This window comes from Homo sapiens, chromosome 8, assembly GCF_000001405.40.
Source record: "Homo sapiens chromosome 8, GRCh38.p14 Primary Assembly".
Taxonomy (NCBI): Eukaryota; Metazoa; Chordata; class Mammalia; order Primates; family Hominidae; genus Homo; species Homo sapiens.
In genome coordinates, this window is record NC_000008.11 from 23779323 (window position 1) to 23804184 (window position 24862).

The 24862-nt window shown below is 42.2% G+C and overlaps 1 long non-coding RNA gene across 1 annotated transcript in view, besides 2 other annotated features; it reads left to right on the forward strand.

Moving 5' to 3' along the window:
* The window catches only part of LOC107986930 (uncharacterized), a 139865-nt gene extending 116245 nt beyond the window's left edge, over positions 1–23620 (forward strand). Inside the window, exons 4-5 of the long non-coding RNA XR_001745842.2 lie at positions 9171–9281; positions 10100–23620. This is a non-coding gene — a long non-coding RNA (uncharacterized LOC107986930). The remainder of the gene's footprint in view (positions 1–9170; positions 9282–10099) is intronic.
* Positions 4760–5343: an enhancer, noted in NCBI's record as "H3K4me1 hESC enhancer chr8:23641595-23642178 (GRCh37/hg19 assembly coordinates)". NCBI's record gives its function as "activates a minimal SCP1, AML or CMV promoter by ChIP-STARR-seq in naive H9 embryonic stem cells {active_cell/tissue: H9 hESC(naive)}" and the evidence as "EXISTENCE:reporter gene assay evidence [ECO:0000049][PMID:30033119]".
* Positions 18790–19989: an enhancer, noted in NCBI's record as "CDK7 strongly-dependent group 2 enhancer chr8:23655625-23656824 (GRCh37/hg19 assembly coordinates)". NCBI's record gives its function as "activates an origin of replication core promoter dependent on BRD2, BRD4, P300/CBP, MED14 and CDK7 cofactors, with strong dependence on CDK7, by STARR-seq in HCT116 cells {active_cell/tissue: HCT116}" and the evidence as "EXISTENCE:reporter gene assay evidence [ECO:0000049][PMID:35650434]".
* Positions 23621–24862: the final 1242 nt, after the last annotated feature.

The window sequence follows — 24862 nt, forward strand, 5'->3', positions numbered from 1 at the left end:
AGCACTCTTCAAGCACCAAGAGCAGATGCTTAGGGGTGGTGCTGAGGGAAAATGGAGCCTTCTGTGTGCTCCTGAAATGATAATTGCCACTCCTGGATATTATTATTCTCCATATTTACTGGCTCCATCCTTGACCTGTTAGCTGTCATTTCTGTCAGTCAAGGTTCTTTCTTGCAAATAACAGAATCTACCCTAGCTAATTTAGGCCAAAAGAGATTTATTGAAGAATGTTGCAGGCTGGGCATGGTGGCGCACGCCTATAATCCCAGCACTTTGGGAGGCTGAGGCAGGAAGGTCACTTGAGCTCAGGAGTTCAAGACCAGCCTGTGCAACATAGTGAGACTTTGTTTCTACAGAAAAAAGTATAAAAAGTGTCAAAAATTAGCCAGGGATGGTGGCAGGCACCTGCAGTCCCAGCTACTCAGGAGGCAGAGGTGGGAGGATTTCTTGAGCCCAGGAGGTTAAGGTTGCAATGAACCATGATTGCATCACTGCATTTCAGCCTCAGACTAAGACCTTGTTTCTAAAAAAAAGAATGTTGCATACCTTATAAAATCCCTGGGAGGGCCAGATCACCAGAATGGATGCTGCCCAACTGAGAGTGAGCAGCCCATCCAGGAACGAGGTAGTTAGGAGACACTCCGAGCCACATAATGGAGTTGTTCTGGCAACAATACCACTGCTGCCACCTTCCCCAACTGTAATTGTGTCTGGTACTGGATCCAGAAGCTCCATCCTAGCTGTCTGGGGAGAACCAGACACCTCTACCACTATACATCCCCCAAATCCATCTGCCTGCATTCAGTTACTGCCTCATATAATTCCCTTCTGCGTCCAAGTTATGTGGATCTGATGGGTCATTTGCCTGTAACTGCAGCAAGGGAGTCTGGGAAGTATATTGTTTTTGATTCTACTTTGGGAAAAGGTATTACTCAGGGTTCTCCAGAGAAACAGAACCAACAGGAGATCTTTCTGTCTGTTTGTCTATCATCATCGTCATGCCTATCATCTATTTATCATATTCATTATCATGTATCATCTATCTGCCTATCTTCATTACCGTTTGTCTGTCTATCTCTCTGTCTGTCTGTCTATGGAACTGGCCCACATGGTATGCAGGCCGAGAAGTCCCATGATCTGACGTCTGTGAGCTGGAGACAGGAAAGCCAGTGGTATAGTTATAGTCTGAGTGTGATGCCTGAGAATCAGCAGAACTGATAGTGTGAGTCTTTTTTTTTTTTTTTTTTTTTTTTTTTGAGACAGTGTCTCACTCTGTCGCCCAGGCTAGAGTGCAGTGGCACAATCTCAGCTCACTGCAAGCTCCGCCTCCCAGGTTCACGACATTCTCCTGCCTCAACCTCCCGAGTAGCTGGGACTACAGGTGCCCGCCACCACACCTGGCTAATTTTTTTTTGTATTTTTAGTAGAGACAGGGTTTCACCATGTTAGCCAGGATGGTCTTGATCTCTTGACTTTGTGATCCGCCCGCCTCGGCCTCCCAAAGTGCTGGAATTACAGGTGTGACCCACTGTGCCCGGCCAATAGTGTGTTTTAATCCTAGTCCAAGTGTGAAGTGCTGAGAACTGGGGAATGATGATGTAAGACCGAAGGCCAAAAAAAAAAAAAAAAAAAAACCAAAGGCCTGAGAACCAGGAGCGCCAATGGCATAAATCCCAGTTGAAAGGCAGAAGATTGATGTCTCTGCTCCAGCAGTCAGGCAGAGAGAGAGAGAGAGGATTCCACCTTCCTCCACTTGTTTGTTTACTCAGGCCCTCAGTAGGTCGCTGATGCAACCCACACTGGGGAGGACCATCTGCGTTACTCAGTCCATTCATTCAAATGCGAACTGTGTCCAGAAACACCCTCTCCAGCATCCCCAGAAATAATGTTTAACCAGATATCTGGGCATTCCATGGCCCATTCAAGTTGAAACATAAACTTAACCATCACAGAAGGTGAGACTCATATTGATGGAAGTAACAAAATAGAAGGCCTTCACTATGTAACATTTTGTCCCTGGTTTATACAGGTCATACCTGTGAGTTTTGGGGATCAAATGCCAGGCTCAGAAACTGGAAGTTAACCTCAATATCTGAGCCTTTGTCTGTGCCTTCCACTAACTGATGATCTCCTGGAAAATGCCTGTGAACCTGGGCTTGTGGCAGGATAGCTCGTTGCTTTAGTGCCAACTGCTCCTCATCCCATCCGACAGGGCCAAAGCTGGCTTTGGCTGGGTAACGTTCTCATAAGCCGTATTTTCAGTGGAGCTTTGTACCTGTCACATGCTTGTGACAATTTTTAAAGAAAAAATTTGATATTCTTTTATTTTAAATGACTGTTATTAAGCACTCTAAAAAGGCGAGTTTATTGGATAACTTCATATCCCTTTAAGATGACTTGTTCTTCCATGATGAAACCAATTTTTCTTTTTTGAAAAGTCCTTGAAGGTATACTCCATGCCCTTCTTAGAACTGCAACAAGTGATTTTTAAAAAAGTAAACTGTGATGTGTGGCTCATTATGAAAATGCTATATGAGTTACAACCCAGTTTATTTTAGATGCAATTCAAATCCTACCTTTATAATTTTATAGAGAGCAATTTCAGTGTCTCTCTGTCTAGTAAGTGGTTGGCTTTCAGGTCAGGAAAGAAACAACTACTCCAGCAACACATCACCCTTCAACTCCTCTTCCGTGCCTTGCACCAGCAAGCCTTCCCACTCAAGCAAAGTCACCATAAATTGGCAATCCATTAACTAGTAGGTACTGTATGTTCCAGGAGTACCACCTCTCCCTCCCGCACCCCATCGCATGGATACTTACTTTTTAATGTGTCAGGTAACAATGAGCTCCTTAAATTATTTGTCTGAATTTACTCTCTGTAAACTAGAAAGGGAACTACATACCAGGAAGGCCAACAACTCATAAATCTTCCTGGGGGTCAGGTCAACTTTTAGGAAGGAGTGGTTGAATCCAAGGATTGAGTGGATGGATTGGGTTTGAAAGAACCACTGCAGAGAATCTGAGAGAAAGCACTGATTGAGAATTATATAAAGGAATTGCCAAGGAGCATTGAAGGCTCAATATTCTCCTTGAGTTGGAAAAAGAAAAAGTGTACAATGTTCAGTTATAAAAGATCTCCAGCAATTTACCTCTTACTATGTGGCCTTGTTGAGATATTTGTATTAATTCTTGTTAAGGACTTTGTATTGACTATAGCCACATTTTGAACGGTCTGCTCCCACAGTATACTGTTAATTGATAGAGTAGCCCAATAATGGTAGCTTCTGCTTTTCGGAACGACCTCTCTTTCTCCTCCTCTCTCTCCCTGTAAATATCACAGAAGAGAAAGAATAAGAGAACAGTGGATAGAATGTCTGTAATGATAAGAAGCATGCACTTCGTGTCATTTTATTCTTCTGAAATGTAGATTTCATGGTGACTCTTGAAAAGTAAAACATTTTTGAGTTCCTTTTCAGGTGGAGAATTGTTGGAAGTTCTTTGGATCTTGTGCTTTGTTAGTTAAATAGTTTTAGCGTTCCTTAGAAACCAAAGAATTTTATAGACATCTTAGTTAGGAAATTTTGCGGAAAGTATTTCTTCATATACACTACACAGAGCAGAATTTTTAACTGAATTTATGTGAAAATATTTTAGAACTGAGATTAAACTAGTATCATGACACATGATTTGCACGTAAACAACTGATACAATACTTTTAAAGTATTCCTCTTTATATTTTCAAAGCAGGTCGTCTAAAGTATCTGTTTTTGTTTATTTATTTATTTTTTTTAGTGGGGACATTTAAAACAATCTCAATAAAACAAACCTAGGAGGACAAAAAAGTATCAAGGAGCAGAAATTAAAGACCTTAAAATCCTATCTCAGAGAGGCAATTACTGTTAATATTTCCTTTCAATCTTTTTTCTATTCATGTTTTAGGTAGTTGCTATGACCCATGGTATCAGTCATGATAGACTTGGTTGTTATGTGGTAATACTCATCTCCAAGTTTTGATTGTGCAGGAGTACAGTTGCTTATTTCTCACTTGTGTTACATGTCCTTTGCAGATTGATTGGAGACCCTGTAGCCATGTCATTATCACCTTTACTCAGAGTAATCACGATCTGGAACTTTTCTGGTTACCACAGTAGGGTGAAAAGAGTGCACTGAATGGCCACACACTGGAAATTAAACATTTGCACAGGAAATGACACATAATGCTTATGCTCGCAAATCAATGGCAAGAATTGATCACTTGGCCTAATCCAACCACAAACCCCCATTATACCATGCATACTTTATTAAACAATGAAACTATTACTAAATAATACTTATAAAGCTTAGTTTGAGTTATTATATGAAACCCATAAAATTATATATCTTTTCTTTTCTTTTTTTTTTTGAAACAGGGTCTCACTCTGTAGCCCAGGCTGGAATGCAGTGGTGAGATCTTGGCTCACTTCAACCTCTGCCACCCGTGTTGAAATGATTCTCCCACTTCAGCTTCCTAGGTAGCTGGGATTACAGGTGCGCGCCACCATGCCTGGCTAATTTTTGTATTTTTAGTAGGGACAGGGTTTCACTATGTTGGCCTGGTGGGTTAAAATTATCTATCTTTTCAAATTAGTCTATAGTCACACTTTCAATGAATTCCTATTGGATTGTCAAGGGTTTATTTGTATTGGTTACATTGATCGAATTTGGTGATGAAAAGGAATGTTTCCCCCAACTTTAAATGTTTCCTTTCATGAGGTGGGGATCCACCAGCTTGATGCTCTTGTCCTTATTTGATTGGTGAGCTTGGAAGGAGAAATTGGGCTCCATAGCCGAGGCCTTTCTGGTTCCTTTCTCTTGAGAGGGAGCTGCCTGTAGGAAGTGTTATCTGTTCTTCTCCCCATGGTGTTGGAGGCGGTCTACGCTGGTCTAGCTGGGGTGACCCATCATCCAGGTTTGCTCAGGACTTAGGGGTTTCTTGGGATGTGGGGCTTTCAGTGCTAAAACAAGGATAGCATCTTCTTGTGATTGCCTGGTAAAATATGGAAAATTTTGGGATCCAAGACGAGGAAGCCTATTTGTTCCATCATCTTAGCCGCCACATTCTCTACTATAATATTTATCAGTAATAAAGATGATAATTTAGCCTCTCATTAAAGAGAGGTTTTACTTTCATTTCTCAATTGTCTCAGAACCCAGGCCAGTAAGAGAGATGCTCTTTAGGGAGCCTCTTAAACCTGAATGCTGGGATTAGCACAGTCCTCATTTGCCCTTTTCCCACATAGATCGTACCATGGATGGATCTGGCAGCCTCCACAAATAATGAATCCAGATCTGAAGTTGCACTTCTCCAAGATAAACATCCTATGGGACTAATAAACTTGATCTAGTTGAGGTCTAAGATCAGAGTTTATTTATCTATTTGGCTTCTGTAGTGTAATTTCTCCAAAGCTCAATAATGTTTAGATAAACAGATGCGTTGTGACTAAGCGGGAGGGGGTCAGATCAAAGTAGAAGCAGAAGGGCAGGGTGAGAGGAAATCAGTCAAGAGGATGAGAAGGAGGACAGTCACTAGGACAGCCACTTCACTTTGATGAGGGTCCAGGTGGTGGGCAAATCACAGGGCAATTTCTGATTCTTGAGTGCATGAGGCACCCTTGACACTATAGCTGAATTCACTTCAAACATGGAGAACTGAGGGAAGCAGCAATAAGCCAGTGGATTCACTCCTGCTTTTCATTTATTTTTTTTAATTAATTAATTTTTTTTTTTGAGACAGAGTCTTGCTCTGTCACCCAGGCCAGAGTGCAGTGGTGCAATCTTGGCTCACTGCAACCTCCATCTCCCGGGTTCAGGCAATTCTCATGCCTCAGCCTCTGGAGTAGCTGGGACTACAGGCACCTGCCATCATGCCTGGCTAATTTTTGTATTTTTAGTAGAGATGGGGTTTGGCCATGTTGGCCAGGCTGGTCTCGAACTCCTGACCTCAGGTGATCCGCCCATCTTGGCTTCCCAAAGTGCTGTGATTACAGGATGAGCTACCACGCCCGGCCATACTCCTGCTTTTTAGGCAGAAACATTGTCTGTCACATATGCAGATTTGTTTTACTTCCATAAATCACCAAATATTTCAGTTCAAGCAAGAATAACAAGAAACAAAACCTCCTTTGAACATTTAAATGTTCATCTGCTCTGCATATTTGTGTACTTGTCAGTTTTACAAATAAGGTCCCTTAAATATTTTTAAGAATTACCATGGTTGGTGTTCAGCTGCTTTTACCATGTCCTTGCAATGGTGACATGCATAAAGTTTGGCAACTGGGATAGCACAGGCCCAGGCCAATCAGCACAGATACTAGGTACAGATCACTGGTATGGCCCTGCAGGTGCATGCAAGCTGCAAACCAGCCCTATACATATGGGAATATGTGAATTGTCTTGTTAATACCTCTCTGCGGGTAACTTGGATTCCTAAATTTTCTGGCTAATTCAGAGTCTCCTAATCTAACCTACTCTCTGGAACACTAAGCTTCCTATCTTTTTATTTTTCCTTCTTCTAGCAAGGGATTTCTCAAAGAGTGATGCTCTAGACACTTTGTTACTCGGACCTGTTGAGTTGGAATTCCTGGGGTGGGGGCTAGATGTCTGTCTGTTCACAGCCTCCTCAGATGACTCTGATGTAGCTCACCAAAGTGGGAGGACCCCTCTCCATGTGACTTTCTCCATTTATAAAGGGACACTTGGAATGTGACTGCATATACCTCCAGCTGTCCTGCTCTCCCCTGCCTTTCATTTTATAATTTTCTCTCCTAAAGGTTGACCCTTATTATTGTTTGACATTTTGAGATCATCAAACATAATCTAAGCAATCATTCTTTTCATTGTCTCAGAAGCAGTCAAGTTTATTGAGAGTAAACATAAGCCTTTTCCAAAGATAAGACGCACAGACATAGTCTTTGGTCTCATTTTCTTGTCTGCAGAGGAGATTTTTCTCTTTTAAAACTCTACAGATTAAAAAAAAGATGAAGAAGGGAAATCAGCCTCCCCCAGTCCCAATCCATTTCTCCCTCCCCTTTTCTGGAGGGAAGGTGGGAATGAGGTGCTAATTCTTTTGTTAGAAACAGTAAAGGCAGGTGTTAGTTTTCCTCCCCACTGCCCCCTGCACCCGCCCCCCTCCACCCCACCCCCCCGATCAATTTCATGGTCAATGAGTTTATGCACATATTTATTTTACTTTAGGCAAAGGTAATCAACAAGGCTGGTGGTTTCTGTAACTGTTGATCAATGTCTGGTTTTAAAGCAGGTTTTAGGATCTTCTCGCAGTTTGTGGGGTTAGAATGATGTTAGCTACGTTCATGAGTTTGCTGTCAGATGTCAAAAATGCCCACCATGTCTTCTAAAATGGATCCCAAATAGACCTGTGGAAGAATTTCAGACAGAGACCTTTGCAGACCAACCAAGCTAGATGTGAGCATGATTTCCATGGACAAGCAGGTACCACACCATTTCTAAGTTGCCTGCTTTATGCCAGTGCTCTGGGGATCTAGGAGAAGGTAAGAATGGGTTCTTGATCTTTCAGTGAAACAGAAGATAAATGATCAATATGCATGAAATCAGAGAAAAACAACAAAAGGCAGCAGAAGATTCTATTATCCAAATCATAGGTGCTGTAGGAGCTCAAAGGAGGGAGGAACCACTAGGCACTAGAGTGGAAAGGCAAAGTTTCTCTGGGAAGATAAACATGAACTTCACCTTGAAGGATGTGAGAGGGCAGAGGGGAAAAGGGAAGAAAGACATTTTTGACTCAGGAGAACCTGAACAAGACTGGTCTGTGTGGGGATCAGCCTGCCCACAGCCAGGGCTCACTTTGGGGTCTGTGGGGAACAGGCTGAGAGAACCCCAAAAGACATGCAGAGAGGCTAGAAGCAAACAAAACAGGACATAGAAGTCCAATGTTTCCCAATGGGAGAAGTGATGTGTTTCGAGAAGAACTTTTGTGGTCTAGGTGAAAATTGCTTTATGACCCCGGATTTCACTGCAGTTTAACAACTTAGCAACTACATTGCTGAGCTTTTAGGAGCTGCACTTCCACTCAGAGCTGCATCTCCCTCTTCGACTTACTTTCCTGATTTTTTGTAGCCGTTACTTATGTCTAGGCTTTGACCAGTCAGAAAGGATGTGGCCTTTTGTTGAAGCAAGTTTCTAAGGCTGGTCCAGGTGCTCACCCTTCAGTTGCTGGATCATGGGAAGTGTGGGTGGCTCTAGGACTATGTTTGGGAGAGGAGAGTCATAGAACTCTCTCTCTCTCTTTTTAAGAGATGGAGTCTCACTATGTTACCTAGGTTAGTCTTAAACTTCTGGCCTCAAGCAGTCCTTCTACTTCAGCCTACCAAGTGGCTGGGATGATAGATGAGGGCCACCATGTCTAGCTTCATTAACCATTCTTTAAAACCAACCATTAGGGACATATTGAAATATTTTAACAGCTATTGCAGCTGTACTGAAGGAGACTGATGAGTTAGTTTTCATTGATATTTAGTTCTTGGTGATAAGTTTCTCTCACTTGATAGTGAAAGTAGAGTGGAGAGACTGACTGATCTAAATCATACAACAATAAAAGATAAAATCATGGTCCTGTATTAGATTTATCCTTTGGTCTCTAGCTCCTATTTTTAACTTGTTAAAAGATTTCCTGAATTTCAATTTACAATAGCAAAGACATGGAATCAACCTAAATGCCCATCAATGGTAGACTGGATAAAGAAAATGTGGTACATATACACCATGGAATATTATGCAGCCATAAAAAATAATGAGATCATGTCCTTTGCAGGAACATGGCTGGAGCTGGAGGCCATCATCCTTAGCAAACCAACGTAGGAACATAAAACCAACTACCACATATTTTCACTTATAAATGAGAGCTAAATGATAAGAACACATGGAAACATGGTGGGGAATAACACACACTGTGTAGGGTGGGAGGAGGGAGAGGATCAGGAAAAATAACTAATGTGTACTAGGTTGAATACCTGGGCAATGAAATAATCTATATAACAAACCCCCATGATGTGAGTTTACCTGTGTAACAAACTTGCACATGTACCCCTGAACTTAAAGCTAAAAATAAATGTGAGGAAGAATAAATTGTTCTGTCTCAAAAAAATATTTTTCAGGAAACGTTTGAATGGGAATGGGAGAGGAGAGCAGAAATGGGAAGGAAAAAGAAGATTCCAGAGCAGTAACGTAATTAAACATTCTCAATCCACAAAATGACTGCAAAGCAGGTAACTCCAGGTCTGCTGGGAAGCCAAGCTTGGGAGGTATTTGCACCGATGAAGAACTCTTTTTTTTTTCTGGAGTTGAAGGCTTTTATTTTATTTTATTTATTATTATTATACTTTAAGTTTTAGGGTACATGTGCACAATGTGCAGGTTAGTTACATATGTTTACATGTGCCATGCTGGTGTGCTGCATCCATTAACTCGTCATTTAGCATTAGGTATATCTCCTAATGCTATGCCTCCCCCCTCCCCCCACCCCACAACAGTCCCCAGAGTGTGATGTTCCCCTTCCTGTGTCCATGTGTTCTCATTCTTGCAGCATCTCATTGTTGAATGGATGAATGAATGGTGAATAGATAAAAAAAAGGATAGGGGCCTGAAGAGGGAGTTCAGAGACCAAGCTCTAGCTCTAGAGTGAATAGGCAGAGCTTCTCTGAGAAGATGAACATGAGCTTCACCTTGAAAGATTTGAGAGGGCAGAGGGCAAAAGGGAGGACACTGTTGGCCCAGGAGAACCTGAACAAGGCTGGTCTGTGTGGGGAACATCTACTAGACAGCTGTGGAATCATGGGCAGTCTATTTTTCTGGAATTTTCTGGAACCAGCGGCAAATTTATCTTTATGGAACTTATTTCCTTGGGGATAATTATTCCTCAAATGGGGATAATTATTTCTGCACTCCCCGGGGGGAGGGGGGTGTTGTGGGATCCGATGTGATAGTGACTCTGTGCACTTGTGAGCATTAAAAGCTTCAGGCAAGAATAAGATTCTTCATGTCCTTCCGCTCTAGCTTGCTTTGTAACTTTCTGTGTGTTTTCCAGATAACCAGAGTCCTGATGATTAACTGCCGTCAGTGGAACTGCCTGTTTTTCCTCAAGTGGATCTTTCCTTCTATGCAAAAGCAGTTGAAGTGGGTGTCTGTACGCTGCGTCCTAGCCCTGTGCCGATTTCCTATTGAGGTCAGTGGGCCTTTGTCGCGGAGTGGAGATCTTGGGGTGTCTCATGGACTTTGAGCTCCAAGGCCTGGAGGGGCTTCTTGGGCAGTTATCACATGTGCTGTCCTGTCATCTGATGTTTCCTGGGGTCATGGTTGCATGGAGACCTGGGAAAAGAGACCGTTGACCACAAGAGGCCCGAGGCCTCTGACCACTGACCAGGAGCTTGAATTTCTCCCAGGCAGACGGCCCCTGGTAACCTGAACAATCTGGGAGATGAGTTGGATATTAGAGGGGCCTCCCACGCAGGTTGAGTCACGGAGCAGCCAGAATGTCCTCCTGTGCGAGGGCTATTTGTGACCTGGGGTCAAGATTGTTCTGACTTCAGTTTCCTTTACTTTCATAATCATTTCCTGGCAGTCCTCTCCCTGAAATAAGAAATACCGGCTTCTGTTTATGGAACTTGTGGGCCAACTTAGATATATTGGGGTCCTGATGCTCTCAGCAGGGGAACATCATGTTGGTAACACTCAACCAAGAACCCGTGTGAATGTCAGGCAAATGGTAGAGGAGCTTGGATATGGAACTAGAACATCCAAGTCCAAGTTCTAGCTGTGACACTCACTCTGTACCTGTGAATGCCGGGGAAGCCCGGCAAGCCACTCAAAGCCTTACGAGCTGCACTTTCCTTATCTTACAGTGGAAATGAGAATCTTTGTTCCCTGAAGTTTGTCATAAACATCAAACTGGATGTTTGAGGAAGTATTTTCAAATCAAGTCACCACCAGTGGTGTAGGGTAAGGGTTTTTTTCCTTATGGCAATATGAGGGGTGCATTGGGGAAAAGGGGAGCATTAGCTCCTCAGATATCATGAAACTTTTGGGATATTGTCAGAGCCCCAAGGATATCACAGGGTCAGCTTGGCTAGTCCCGCAAACCTCTGAGAAGTATGTTCTGCTGGATGGGCAAGCAGGTCCTCAGGGTAAAAGAGGAGGAAGTGGATTAAGCAGCGTGGTCTTTAGACACACCTGGGAATTATTCGTGTTGCCAGGGAAGGGGTTGGCACTGCTGCTATTTCTCTTTTCCCTTTGCAGGCTGGCCTCATGGGTGTGCAGATGTTTTTTTCAGGGCTAGTGTGATGGAATGGTGGTGGAACTTAGTGTGAACACGCCGTGGTGTGTGAGCTTTTCACGTTCTAGTCTAGAGACAGCCGAGGCTGTTTTTGAAGAAGGGAAAGCTGGCTCATGTGTGACTGTTCACTTACCTGCCCTTAATCTCACTTCCAGAAAAGGTAAAATTGCTCCGCTCCCAGAAGGTGCCAGCAAGGAGCTCGCTCCTGGGTTGGTTCAGGGTTGTGTCTCAATGGGCATCTTTTCAGAGCTAGGTTGGAGCCAAAATCTACTTTGCTGAGTCCTCTTTTCTAGGTGTGTTCAAAGGGATATAAAATCCATGTTTGGGACCCGTTACACTTGTTCACCACGGACCATTTGGCAATCATTTTTATCCCAGAATGATTTCCTGCCTTAGAGTGAGGCCCATCCAGGGCAGTGGGATTTCCTCTTTGCTCTGCTCTTGTCTTGCAGAGTGACCTGGGTTGACCTATCTGTCCTTTCTGTTACTCATATCTTTAGCCTTAAAAGATCATGTCCTTTTAATTTAAAAAACAAAGCCAAACAACCCTCCCACTACAAACCACTAATCTTTCAAAACAGAAAAAAAATGTGTCTTTTGAAAAGAGGAAATTGCTTTTTATTAGGTGTAAAAACCAACAAAAAAAGCTCCCAACATCTCCAGAGGCCTGGGAGTTGCCATGAACCGCTGACCCCATTCTGTTAGGTTGGCAAACAGCCTCCCCAAGCCCGCCATCCAAGCAAAACGGTGAGCTTGACTTGTGCCACAGAACAGCCTTGCCTCACATCAAGACATGTTTCCACATCCTCTGGAGGGTGCCAGCGTAGCCTTGGCACATGTCTTTTGTAAGGGACATTCATTTGTAAATTCAAAAATATGCTGGAGTGACCTTGAAGGACAGTAGTGTAATCACATCATTTAAGAGATGAAGAAACTGCAGCTCAGAAAAGGAGTCATTTGCTCAAGCCACATGTGGGTCTGTGGAAGACCTGGGACTGGAACCTCATCCTTCAGAGCAATGCTGTTGCCACTAAGTCCTTGGAGACTTGAGAAGAACTTTCCAGGTGGTGGCGCATAGTCACTGCTCACCAAACCTTCCGGGTGTCCCCCAGTATTCCTTAGTAGTCAGGTTGGGGCTGCGTGACTAGACCTGGATAATGACGTCCCAGCGGAAGTGAATAAGAAGTTAACCTGTGTTGTGTTGGGCCATTGAGATTTTGAGGTATTTTTATTACTGTAGCATAACCTAACTTTATGCAGATCTATACAAAAACTAACTTTGCAAAACCATCTCAGAAGAGCTGACTCTGAAGGTAGAACAATGTCTCACTCAAGGATTGATATCTTTTATTGAATGGGGGGCAGGATAGCGTTATAGTTTTGAGACTTTGCTTTCTAAAGCTTGGGCGTCTGGATACTAAGATGTGTATCTCACATCCACCACTTATTAGCTGTATGATTTTGAGCGATTGACTTTACTTATTGTGCCTCAGTTCCTCATCTATATAATGGGAATAACAATGATGACTCTATCATTGACTTGTTGGGAGGATCTGAGAGGATAACACATGGAAAGCTCTTTTTTTTTTTTTTTTTTTGAGACAGTCTCACTCTGTCACCCAGGCTGGAGTGGAGTGGCATGATCTCGGCTCACTGCAACCTCCTCTTCCTGGGTTCAAGCGATTCTCCTGCCTCAGATTCCTGAGTAGATGGGATTACAGGTGCCTGCTACTATGCCTGGCTAATTTTGGTATTTTTAGTAGAGACGGGGTTTCACCATGTTGGCCAGGCTGGTCTTGAACTCCTGACCTCAGGTGATCCACCCACTTAGGCCTCCCAAAGTGCTGGGATTACAGGCATGAGCCACCACGCCGGGTCCCCTTCCTCCATCTTAAACCCAGCTGTGAGGTATCTTCAAGCCTCTCTCTGCTCTCGTCATGAAGCTGTCCTCTCTCTCAGCATCTGTCTACTGCTTGCCTCTTATATGGGCCCTTGTGGGTATACTTATATACACTCCCCATCTGCAAAGTCTCTTTTGCCATATAAGCAACATATTCACAGGTTCCAGGGATTAGGATGTGGATATCTGGGAGAGAGGGAAGTGTTTCAACCTACTGCAAGGAACATGATTGAATTTTTTCTTTTCTTTTCTTTTTTTTTTTTGAGATGGGGTGTCGCTATGTTGCCCAGGTTGGTCTTGAACTCCTTGGCTCAAGCAGTCTTCCCACCTTCACCTCCCAAGTAGCTGGGATTACAGGCATGAGCCACCATGCCCAACTGAATATTTTTCTCAAAGGGATTTTGCAAGGGTGGAAGTAAGAAAAGCAATTAGGGAGCTATTTCAATCATCCAAGTGAGAATTTATGGTGGCTCCCATCAAACCCATAGCAGTGGGGGGTTAGAGGAGGCAGGACCCTGGATATATTTCTGATATAGTGTGAACATTATCTCATAATGGGTAGGGTGTGTGAGATTTGAGAGAAACAGAAAAGTTAATAATCCAAAGGTTTTTTTTTTTTTTTTTTTTTTGAGACAGTCTCACTCTGTCACCCAGACTGGAGTGTAGTGGTATGATCTCGGCTCACCACAACCTCTGCCTCCCAGGTTCAAGCGTTTCTCCTGTCTCAGCCTCCTGAGTAGCTGGGACTACAGGCGTGTGCCACCACACCCAGCTAATTTTTGTTTTTGTACTGGAGACAGGGTTTCACCATGTTGGCCAGGCTGGTCTCAAACTCCTGACCTCAAGTGATCCACCTGCCTTAGCCTCCCAAAGTTCTGATATTACAGACATGAACCACTGAACATGGCCAGCACATGGAAAGCTCTTATCGCAGTACCTAGTGCAAAGTAAGCTTTCAATATATATAAGCTCATATTATTTACTGAAGATACACACCCTGAAAAAGGCATTGGCCAGATTTTTCAGATGCTTTAGGAATGAATTGACTTAAATTCTATCTTCAAGGTACTTGTCATGTATTATAATGCAGTACCCCAGCAGCTGGATGCATACCCATGGAAGATAAATCCCAGTTTACAGCCATGGAAAACATGGACCCTCTGAGCACCACAGTTGTGGGTTGTATCAGAGAGCCCCAAGTTCCAACTTCTTTATGTGACAGCTTCACCCAAGTTCCTGGAGTCTCTAGGATGGTGTTGGAGTGTGTCTCACAGAGGAACACATTCAATTTTAGTACTGACAAATATTTGTTCTTCGTAAAAGATTGGTATTTGAACTTAGGTTCTCTGGTAGCCAATATAAGTAGAAGATTTCAACATACCTAAGGGCCATGGTTGAAATTAATGAGTACTCTTCTTTGGGAAAAAAAAGTCTTACAAGGGAAAAATAATAAAACACTACATAAAATTCTGTTTCCAAATAAATGGATCACATGCCCTGGCTTTACTAAATGCCTAGAGAAATATTTATTTATTGAAACACATCAACTACTCTACTACTGTGAGGCTGGCGTTGGTCTGGAGAGGTGGGGGCAGGAATGCAGGGCTTCAGTGTATCTCGCAGGTCATCTGGAACCGCCTGTCCTCTATCTTCCAGCACTGTCCCTGGCCCCACATGCCGGTCAGAATGACTCTTAGGAATCTTTACTTTTGACTTTAGTCATTTTCTACATACTGAAAAGGAAAGAAAAAAAATCAAAATATCAGAATTGCCCTGGGCCTTAATTTCTGGAATGGAGTTTGTGACTGGCAGAGCATGTTCCTTTGTTTCTAAGTTCTATCCCAACCTGAAACGCAGCTCAAAAATGAGCAATTCGTTTTCTGAACCTCTTCAATGTGGGGTGGGTTTTTTTTGTTGTTGTTGTTTTTTTTTTTAAATAGGAAAGGCCCATTGTGACTAATGACACACACAGGCTAATTCCTCCTCACATTTCCCAGCAGTATCCTCTGTTGTGTGAACCAGTTCGTTGTCAGAAATATTCACAACCTGAGCATTTTCATCAGATAAAAAACAACCTGTTTATGAGATGAACTTAGCAGGAGTCTTCCTGTTTCAGTTTCTTCCTGGGACTTTTTTTTTAAACTAGATAAAAAGAATCTTTAAAATGACGTTTTAAAAGAAATTGTTAGAAGATAAATCTGAGCTAGGCATGGTGGCTCAAGCCTGTAATCCCAGCTACATGGGAGGGTGAGGCAGGAAGAGGATCACTTGAGCCCAGAAGTTGAGAACAGCCCGGGCAACATAGCAAGACCCTCTCTTCCCCCGTAAAAATATTCCAGTGCTCCATGTTTCTTTCCACCCTGTAAAGTGGTTGCAAGGAGGGAACCCAGAAGGGACTAGAGATGCTACTAGGGGAATATCACACGACACCTCCCAGGAGAAAGGAAAGGCTCATTATCATGCATGCTGTTGTTTTGGGCCTGCCTTTTCCTTGGCCTCTGAAAGTGCTGGGCACTTTCATCATGCACAAGCCTATGCTGATGGAAAAGGAAAGGGAAGTGCTACCTTTGCCCCCTGTCTCCTTCTGAGTCGGACACATGGGAACCCCAGAGCTGAGTGGGTGAAATTTGCCATCCGGAGTAGGAATTCCTTAAGAGAGGAAGGAAAATGTGTTGACTTGGCTGGGAGACCAAAAAACAAAAAGGACCTACACTACCTAGGAGGAAATTCAGAGTAAAAACAAGGCTTGCCACCACTTTCTTCCCATAGGGGCAGCAAACACTGAGGGACTTCATATTTTTTCCCCATAATCAATGCAAACATTTACCTTATTGGCAGAGGTTTATCTTCCCCGGGATCTCCTCGTGCTTTTGGAAAATACTGAGATAGTACAACAAAGGCCACAGCCCTTGAAAGATACGTGCCTGCTTTTTAATACAGAACTGCTGTCAAGTCAAATAGCTTAATGAAAATAGGCATGAAGGAGGCCAAGAGAAGGGTTTTGTCTTTTGTTTTGGATGGCACTCAGGAGTCAATGCAGTGGGGACAGACCTGTTCTGTCCAGGTGGCGCTGAGTCAAAGGATCCCGGCCTCAAATTCTGGCACCTGTTTTTACCTCCTGCGTATGGCCCCATAGATGTCTGAAGTTGAACATGTCACTTCTCTTCTCTAAGCCTCAGCTTCCTCTACTGCAAAATGGAAGGCTTGGAGAAACTATTTTCAGTTCCCTGCCAAGAAGGTTGGGCATGGTGGCTCATGCCTGTAATCCCAGCATGTTGAGAGGCCAAGGCGAGTGGATCACCTGAGGTCAGAAGTTCAAGACCAGCCTGGCCAACATGGTGAAACTCCATCTCTACTAAAAATACAAAAATTAGCTGGGTGTGGTGGTGCGTGCCTGTAGTTCCCACTATTTCGGAGGCTGAGGCATGAGAGTTGCTTTAACCTGGGAAGTGAATGTTGCAGTAAGCCAAGATTGTACCACTGCACTCCAGTTTGGGCAACAGAACAAGACTCTGCCTCAAAAAAATAAATTCCCTGCAAAGAAATCTTTAATTCCAATATAGCCACTTGAAGTTACTGCTGGGTTTTGGCAGACAGTTCTTCCCTTAGCCCGCCAGGACTTGTATCTTGAGCTAAGCTTACTAATTCTCAGAACCACTTCCCAGGAGAGTCTGGGTCATTCTTCCTGGACAGCTCTGAAATGGGGTAAATTCTCCTTGACCTCTGACAGTTGAGCAGGTCCTGGCTTAGAAAAGGGAGTGGTTGAGATCTGTATACCCACGAGAGCTTCAGAAGCAGCAGAATCACCCCATTCACTGGCTAACAAAACAAAACAGAATGGACTCCTGGTCCACACCTCATGGAATCCCTATGGGGTGGTCTCTGAAATCTCTATATTGGATGAAATTCCTGCCAGCTTAAATAATCTCCCAGGGCTGGGTGCAGTGGCTCACGCATGTAATCCCAGCACTTTGAGAGGCCAAAGCGGGCCGATCACTTGAGGTCAAGAGTTTGAGACCAGCTTGGCCAATGTGGTGAAACCCCGTCTTTACTAAAAATAATAAAAATTAGCTAGGCTTGGTGGTGCTTGCCTGTAGTCCGGGTTACTTGGGAGGCAGGAGGATCACTTGACCCTGGGGGTGGAGGTTTCAGTGAACTCCAGCCTGGGCAACAGAGTGAGACTCTATCTTTAAAAAAAAAAAAAATTCTCTCAGATCTCTTCTAGCACTTTGAGAACAAGGACATTTTTAACAGAGCTCCCAACATTGGAGTGAGACAGGGCTAGCCAGAAAGCTGACAACTGTCCCACCTTGCAAACATAAGCCACAAGACCACTCTTGTCGGCTGGCACTTTCCTTCCCACCTCTTGGACCTTCCAAATTCATCCATTCTTTGCAGCCCAGCTCAAATCTTTCTTCCTGTACGACACTGTCCCTACCTATTCATCCAGCCCAAATTTGTTATCCTTTTTTTGTCTCTCCCTTGAAACCCATCCTATACTGACTCACACACTGACTCTTGTTGTGACTCAGTGAGTTCAGGCTGGTAAGTCTTGGTCTTCTGGGATGTGAGCTACTTCCTCCCAAGCAGGTGGCCAGGGACACATCTTTCCCGTGCATCCTCCTTGGTGTTGGGCACAGTGCCCATAAGAGGGTGGAATGCCCTGGGGTTCCGTGCACTCAGGGCCTGCAGACTGCACTACAGGAGCAGCGTCACAGTTGTATAGAGGCTTTTGTGGGTAGATGGGGGAAAAGGGAGATAGCTAGGGATGTGAGCCACATGCTTTCAGCATGTCTAAAGACATATGCCATCAGTGCCTGGAGGAGAGCCCCAGTCAGCCTATGTTCCCTTTTCTGGCAACTGCAGGTCATGGCCTTCTCTCGTCCACTCCCTACAGCCTCATGACGACTCTCTTCCTCTTCAAGAATGGCGTGGATGTCTATTGTAATTTGGTTTTCTATCAGCTAAAAGATGGTGAGGGTGTGGTTCTCCCTACTGTCATCTGCCATTTAGCACATGGTTAAGTACCTTGGTTTGGAGTCAGTCTAAATCTGCCCTGTCCAATGGGGTAGCCACTAGCAACAAGTACAACTTAAATTTAAGTTAAATAAGATTGAATAAAAATTTAAAATCTAGTTTTCCAGTTGCAGCGATCACATCTCAAGGCTCATTAACCACATAGGGCTAGTAGCTACCCTATTTATTGCACAGGGCAGATATAGAACATTGCAATCATTGCAGAAAGTTCAATTGAACACTGCTGGTCTAGGCTGGGCTCAAACCCTTGCCCTTCCACTCATTTTCTGCACGATCTTCAATCAATTACTTAGTATTTTGGTGTCTCAGTTCCCTAGTTTATAAAATAGAGAAAATAATACTATCTACTTGGCAAAATTGTTGAGATTTAAATAGGATAATCCATGCAAAGGGAGTGTCAGAACATAAGAACTCAAGGTAAGTTACAACAGCAGCAACAACAGAAGCTTATGTGTTGGCCCTGTTGGATCTGAATTCCAACTTCCCACCACAAAGAATAGCTTTGACACCAAATACAAGGTGGCCTCTCAATAAATACTTAAATGTATGAGCTGAATTGAAAGGGAGTTACATGGTTGCTAGACCCAGTAGGCTCTGTTGGGTCAAGACTGAGGTTTTCTCTGTGTACGTGCAGTTCCTTGGATCTGCCTGTGAACCAGAGGACATTGTGATGCTTTCACCTTTTCGGAAAGGACAGTAATTTCCCTGATTGTGGGCTTTCAGCCAGAGGTGAGCATGTATTGACCCTCTCCAGTTCTCTCCCTCTCTCTTTTTAAAAATTTTTTATTTTTTTCCCACACTGAAAGCATATTCCCTCCTGAGAGGAAGTTTGTTTTCCATGTCCTGGAAATGTCAGGCTCCCCAGAGGGCTCGAGGGTGGATCTGTCTCAGTCAAATGTCTGTTCCTCTGATGCAGTGGGTGACCCCCCCTGCTTTCTTGAATGACATCAGCTGAGCCGTAATCAAAGTGCTCATGCCTGACTCACCACGCACTGTGGAGAATTGACTTCCAGCATAGCGGGGTGGGGGCGAGGTGGAGGAAATGGCCCTTGGCATGTGAATGACTTCTTGACTTTTGACTCAGACAGTTTCAATTGTGGTCAGGCCTCAGCATTCCCGTGCATCTCTTCATTGCCTGAGTCTTCTTGACTTAATTCTTTGCCAGTTTATAGTAAACCTGAACATGGGAAGCCCATCCTGGGCTTCACAGATCACTGCAGAAGGACTCGGGAGGACCAGGTTGCAGCAAGGGGGAGCTGGGAAATTAGAATACTTTGCCGACTGTGCCAGATGCTGGCTTCTAAATTGTAAATTCCTAACAATATACAGGAGCTGAAGCACACGAGTCCATGCATTTTGGCATTTGGTGATGACTTACTGGGGGAGAGAAGGCATAGTTTGTGGTTTCAGGAGCCAGTGTAGCATTAGGAGCTCACCTTGAATTGCTTTCAGAAGCAGAGAGATGTCAGCTGTTTCCCAGCCTCTCAGCCATCTCATCTCCCTTGTAATTATAACTCATTGTTCCACTGACTTCCTTTCTCATTGGACAGTGTCTCAAGGGTGGACCTGTCTCAGGGCAGGGCTTTCAGAAGCAGTCCTAGACGGTGCTCAAACATGTGTGCTGGGATTTTCCCAAAGCTCCTTAAAGTCTGACGGCTGAGTTGTCTAAGAGCCAAACCAAGCCTAGCAAAAGTGAAAATTCATTTAACATCAGGGCTCTCTCTCTACTGAAACAATTGATAGTTCATCACCTCATCCATCATCTGAAACTCAGCACTCAAAACCTCTTTTTCCTCCTGCTTTCTAGTGCATGGAAGATAGAATTTTTCACTCTAGGGTATACTTTTTTCTAGATATTGACTTATTTGGGTCACTTGTTATTTTTCTGTAATTTTAAAATTCCAGCAAATTTTCAACGATAGTCCAGAGAACTTTTATGTACCCTTCTTTATCAGATTCATCACCTGTTGACAATTTCCCCCATTTGCTGTCTTTTCCCCCAACTTAAAAATTATGGTAAAATACACATAACATAAAATTTAACATCTTAATCATTTTTAAGTATGCAGTTCAGTAGTAGTAATTATATTCATAATGTTATGCAGCCATCATCACCATCCATCACTCCATCTGATAACTCTTTTCATTTTGCAAAGCTGCAACTCTATACCTATGACGTGATAACACTGTGTTTCCACCTTGCCTCAGCCCCTGGCAACCCACCATTCTACTTTCTGTCTCTATGTTTTTGGCTACTCCAATTTTCACTTCACCATTTCTCTGTCTCACCATTTCTCTGTTTGTCTCTCGCTCTGTTATCTGTCTCTTGTTCTGTCTCTCTCTATATATACACATACATTCCCTTCGAGAGTAAATTGGAGACATTGTGCCTTTTAACTCCTAAATACTTCAATGTGTATTTTCTAAGGATACTTTCTTACATAACTATAGTGTGGTTATTAGAGACAGTTATATTTAAAAAATTATTTATATTTTTCTAGAGATGGGTTTTCCCTTTATTGCCCAAGCTAGTCTCAAACTCCTGGGCTCAAGTGATCCTCCCACTTCAGCCTCCCAAAATGCTGGGATTATAGGCATAAGCAACCTTGCTCAGCCAAGACTGATTTTTAAATGGAGGCACTAACATTGAGATTGCATAAAGCTTAAAAAAATATGTTCTTTATACCTTTCTTGAGTGTATTGCTACAAAACCAGTACAAAAACCAGCCAAGCAAACAAAACTCCCACCCGTGTATTAAGGGCATACTATATAACCAGCAAGATGTTTGGAGCTGTGTCCAAAATGAGGAAAATATAAGATGCTGATTTCTTAAATTTGAATTTTATTTTTTATTTCTGTAGAGATGGAGTCTTCCTATATTGCTCAAGCTGGTCTTGATCTCCTGGGCTCAAGTGATCCTCCCACCTTGGCTTTCCAAAATACTGGGATTACAGGCATGAGCCCTAGCTAGGAAAATAATATAAACATGTAAAAAGTTAAAAATCAAGGAACTATTTTAAAAGAGCATATTAATTAGTTAAATGCAGATTCTTTGGGAAAAATAATTTAAAATACCCTTGGAACAACCATTAGCAAAATTGTAAATTCGGTATAAAAATAATTCCTCAAACTTTATTTTTTGGCTGTATAAATTCCTTGGATAATTATAAAATTGTAGCAGGATGTTGAGATAATTGGCAGTAAAGTTTTGATAGGATTGGATTTTTCATAACTTCAATCAAATCAGGATATGGAGCAAAAAACTATTCCTTGTTTTAGTAGACAAAGCCTCCAATTCCCAAAGCAAGGGAAAGTTGTACTAAAACTCGTGTATAGTCTTTAAGTGTCCAAAGGATTGATGGAAAGCTAAATGGAAGCCTGTTCATTTTTGTAAGTCTACCCCTCTAGAGCCTGGTTCCAGGCACATACTAGATATGTAGTATGCGTTGTTTGATGAAAAACAATGGACCGTATTTGGAGCCAAAGACATGAAGCATGAATACATATCCTGGGGGACAAGAACTTTGGATTATTTATCTTCAGCCCCAGAAGAAGAGGTGCAGTGAAACTGCATATACTATTTTTTGGTTTATTTTTGCTGATACTTCTGCCTTGTTTGGTGAGAATTCAAAGAGGAAACAAGTGTCTGGAACAGGGTGCACACTCACCCTCACTATGGCCCATGTGCAGAGTGGCCTGGCCCTCACAAAGAACTCGGATGAACAGAGAGAATGTATTATTTGAAATGGAGGATGATCCCAAATACGGGTTGGCCCCAGTGCATGTTCAAAAACAAGACAATTGGCTGAAATACACTGAAGAATTACAAGATGCTGACCTAGAATGGGAAGCTTGAAATAATAATTAGGGCAACAAGGATAGAATCAAAAGATTGGTGACCCAAGGAAGAGGAGTGAAGGAACCAGGGTGAGTCTGAGTGAATAATGAAGACAGGATGTGGCATGTGGCTTTCATGTATTCACAGTGAGTCTGCATAGGTGGGCTTGAGCCATTTTGGGTAAAGGATGGAGTAGACATAGAGTAGAACTTCATAAATGTCCTCTGAAATGAAAGACAGCTGTTCAGTACCTTATTATGTAGGTCATTAAGAACCACCAAAGAACCTCTGAACTGAAGTCATCCTCTGCAAGGATTTGTAAGTATATCTCACCCCTACCCCTCAGATGTGTACAGGATTTACTACAGATGTGGTAAAACAGCTATTCCCATCCTGAATTTATAAACTCAGGAAGATAAAAGTCATAGATATGAAATGTGAAAATGGCATTCTACATTATGGATGTCGATAATTGCCCCCCCAACAGCTTCCTTATTGCTTGTTGTCATGTTACCCAAAGTAAGTCCTGTCTCCTCACTTTCTTAAGCTCTTCTTGTTTCTTTGTCCTCCACCCCTAGTTACATTTGCAACTTTGTCATCACCAATAATTACATCTCCTTAATCTCCATCTCATGCCTCCCTTTCTTTGACCAACGCCTCTACTCTTCTACCTCCCTCCCTCTAGTAGTCCAACACCAATGACCTTTCTATTCCATCAGACTTTCAATCCATTGGTCCTACCATATTTTCTCTGCCTTTCATCCCCTTGCTATCATGATTCCCTTGCTATCTTGATTCCTTCTTCACCTATCTTAAATTCCATGTTCAATTGTTATAACCCTTGCATATGTCTTTGACTCACTTTCCATTTTCTCACTTCATATATTCACTTTGACAAACTGCAACCTTGATTAAATCCAACTTTTTGCTTGGCGCCTGTATCTGTGCTTGGAGAAATGCAGTCGGAGGAAAAGATATAATTACACTGGCTAGTTGCACTTTAAAATCACGACCTTGACTCTAAAATAAACTTTTTAATGCAGAGAAACAATTTTACTCTTTGTCCCTGGCCAATGCACACTCTCATTGTTCTGGAATTGCTTCATGATTTCTCACAAACAGTCTCATTCCATACTCCCTCCCATGCAACTGATTTTTAAATTGAATTTTATCAAAGTAAAACAGGTACATAGTTTAACAAGTCAATAAATAATACTAGGTAGGTAACTAAGAAACAGTAGTTCTGTGCCAAATTTCCTTTCATTCCCAATTCCCATGGTAATATTTTTAACTCTCTTGTTTTTTCCCCCATAGACCATTATTATACTACCATTTCTTATTTTTTCAGTGATATAGTGCCTCTACACACACACTCATGTTATTCTTCTGACTGTTCTCGCATTCTTCCAGTATGTTTTTTTTTTTCAAAATTTTTGGTTAAGTCATTTCTCAATGTTTATATTATTACTATGTAATTAATATTCACAGTTGAACTTACAAAGTATGCTAGGACAACATTTTTTCTTTTTGAAAAATAACTTTTGATATTTTTCTTGGAATTAATTATTGCCACTTCTTTATTTGCAAAATTTTCTTTGCATCCGTTGTGAAATCTCTCAAACTTTCCCCTGGAATAGACCAGAAAATCTTGTCTGAGTATGTTTGCAACCTGTCAGGTATTCTATTACTTTTATTTTCTTCATGACTACCTAGTCCAGAAGCCTCCTGCATCTGTTCTAGTCAAGCTGATTTCTCTCTAAAAAGAAATCTAGAGAGACTTCTAGATGTGTCTAACTAGAGCTGCTATCCTGGGACTTCTCTTCACTCTCATCCTGTGAATGCCTTTACCTTTCTGTGTAGGAGCCTTGTTACCTGGTTTCCCTGTCCTTCTTCTTCCGGCTTAACTTTTCACTGAGGAGGAATGAATGGGTCAACAAGTAGCTTCCTGGAAAACGTAGCTGGGAAGACAATTTTGGGGGCATATTGAAACTCTGAAATGTCCTTATTTCACCCATGTACTTGACTGATAGTTTGGCTGGGTACGGAATTCTAGATTGGCATCAATATCCTCTCACATTTTGATGATATTGCTACATTGTTTTCTACCAGTTTTGCTAATAGGAGTTTTAATGACAGTGATATATCTTTTGTAAATGAACACTTTCTTTTTTCCACCATTCACATAATTTTAGGCTTTCATCTTTGCCCCTGGTATTTACAAATGCCACACGATGGACCATTATACAGAATATTTTTTCATCGATTGCACTGTTTTTTCAGTGAGCTCGTCCAATCTGGAAACTCATATTTTTCAGTTCTTTGAAGGTAGTACTGAAATTATAATAGCATTGTTACTCTTTATTTTCCCTCTTTTTCTTTTCTAGAACTCCTATTAGTTGGCTGCTATATATCCTGGATTGATCCTCTAGTTTCCTTACTTACCTCACAAACTTTCTTTCTCTCTTTTTTCTACTTCCTGGGATATTTCCTCAACATTATTTTCAAACACTTTTGTTGGATTTAAATTTTTGCTGTTGTATTTTTAATTTTCAAGAACTCTTTTTTTTGGTAACAAAATATTGTTTATAGTTTATTTTTTAAATTGATAAAAATCATATAAGTTGTGTACAACCTGTTTTAAAATATATATACATTGTGGAATGGTTACATTGAGCTAACATATGAATTACTTCATATATATACATAACTTTTTGGTGAGAACACTTGAAATCTATTCTCTTA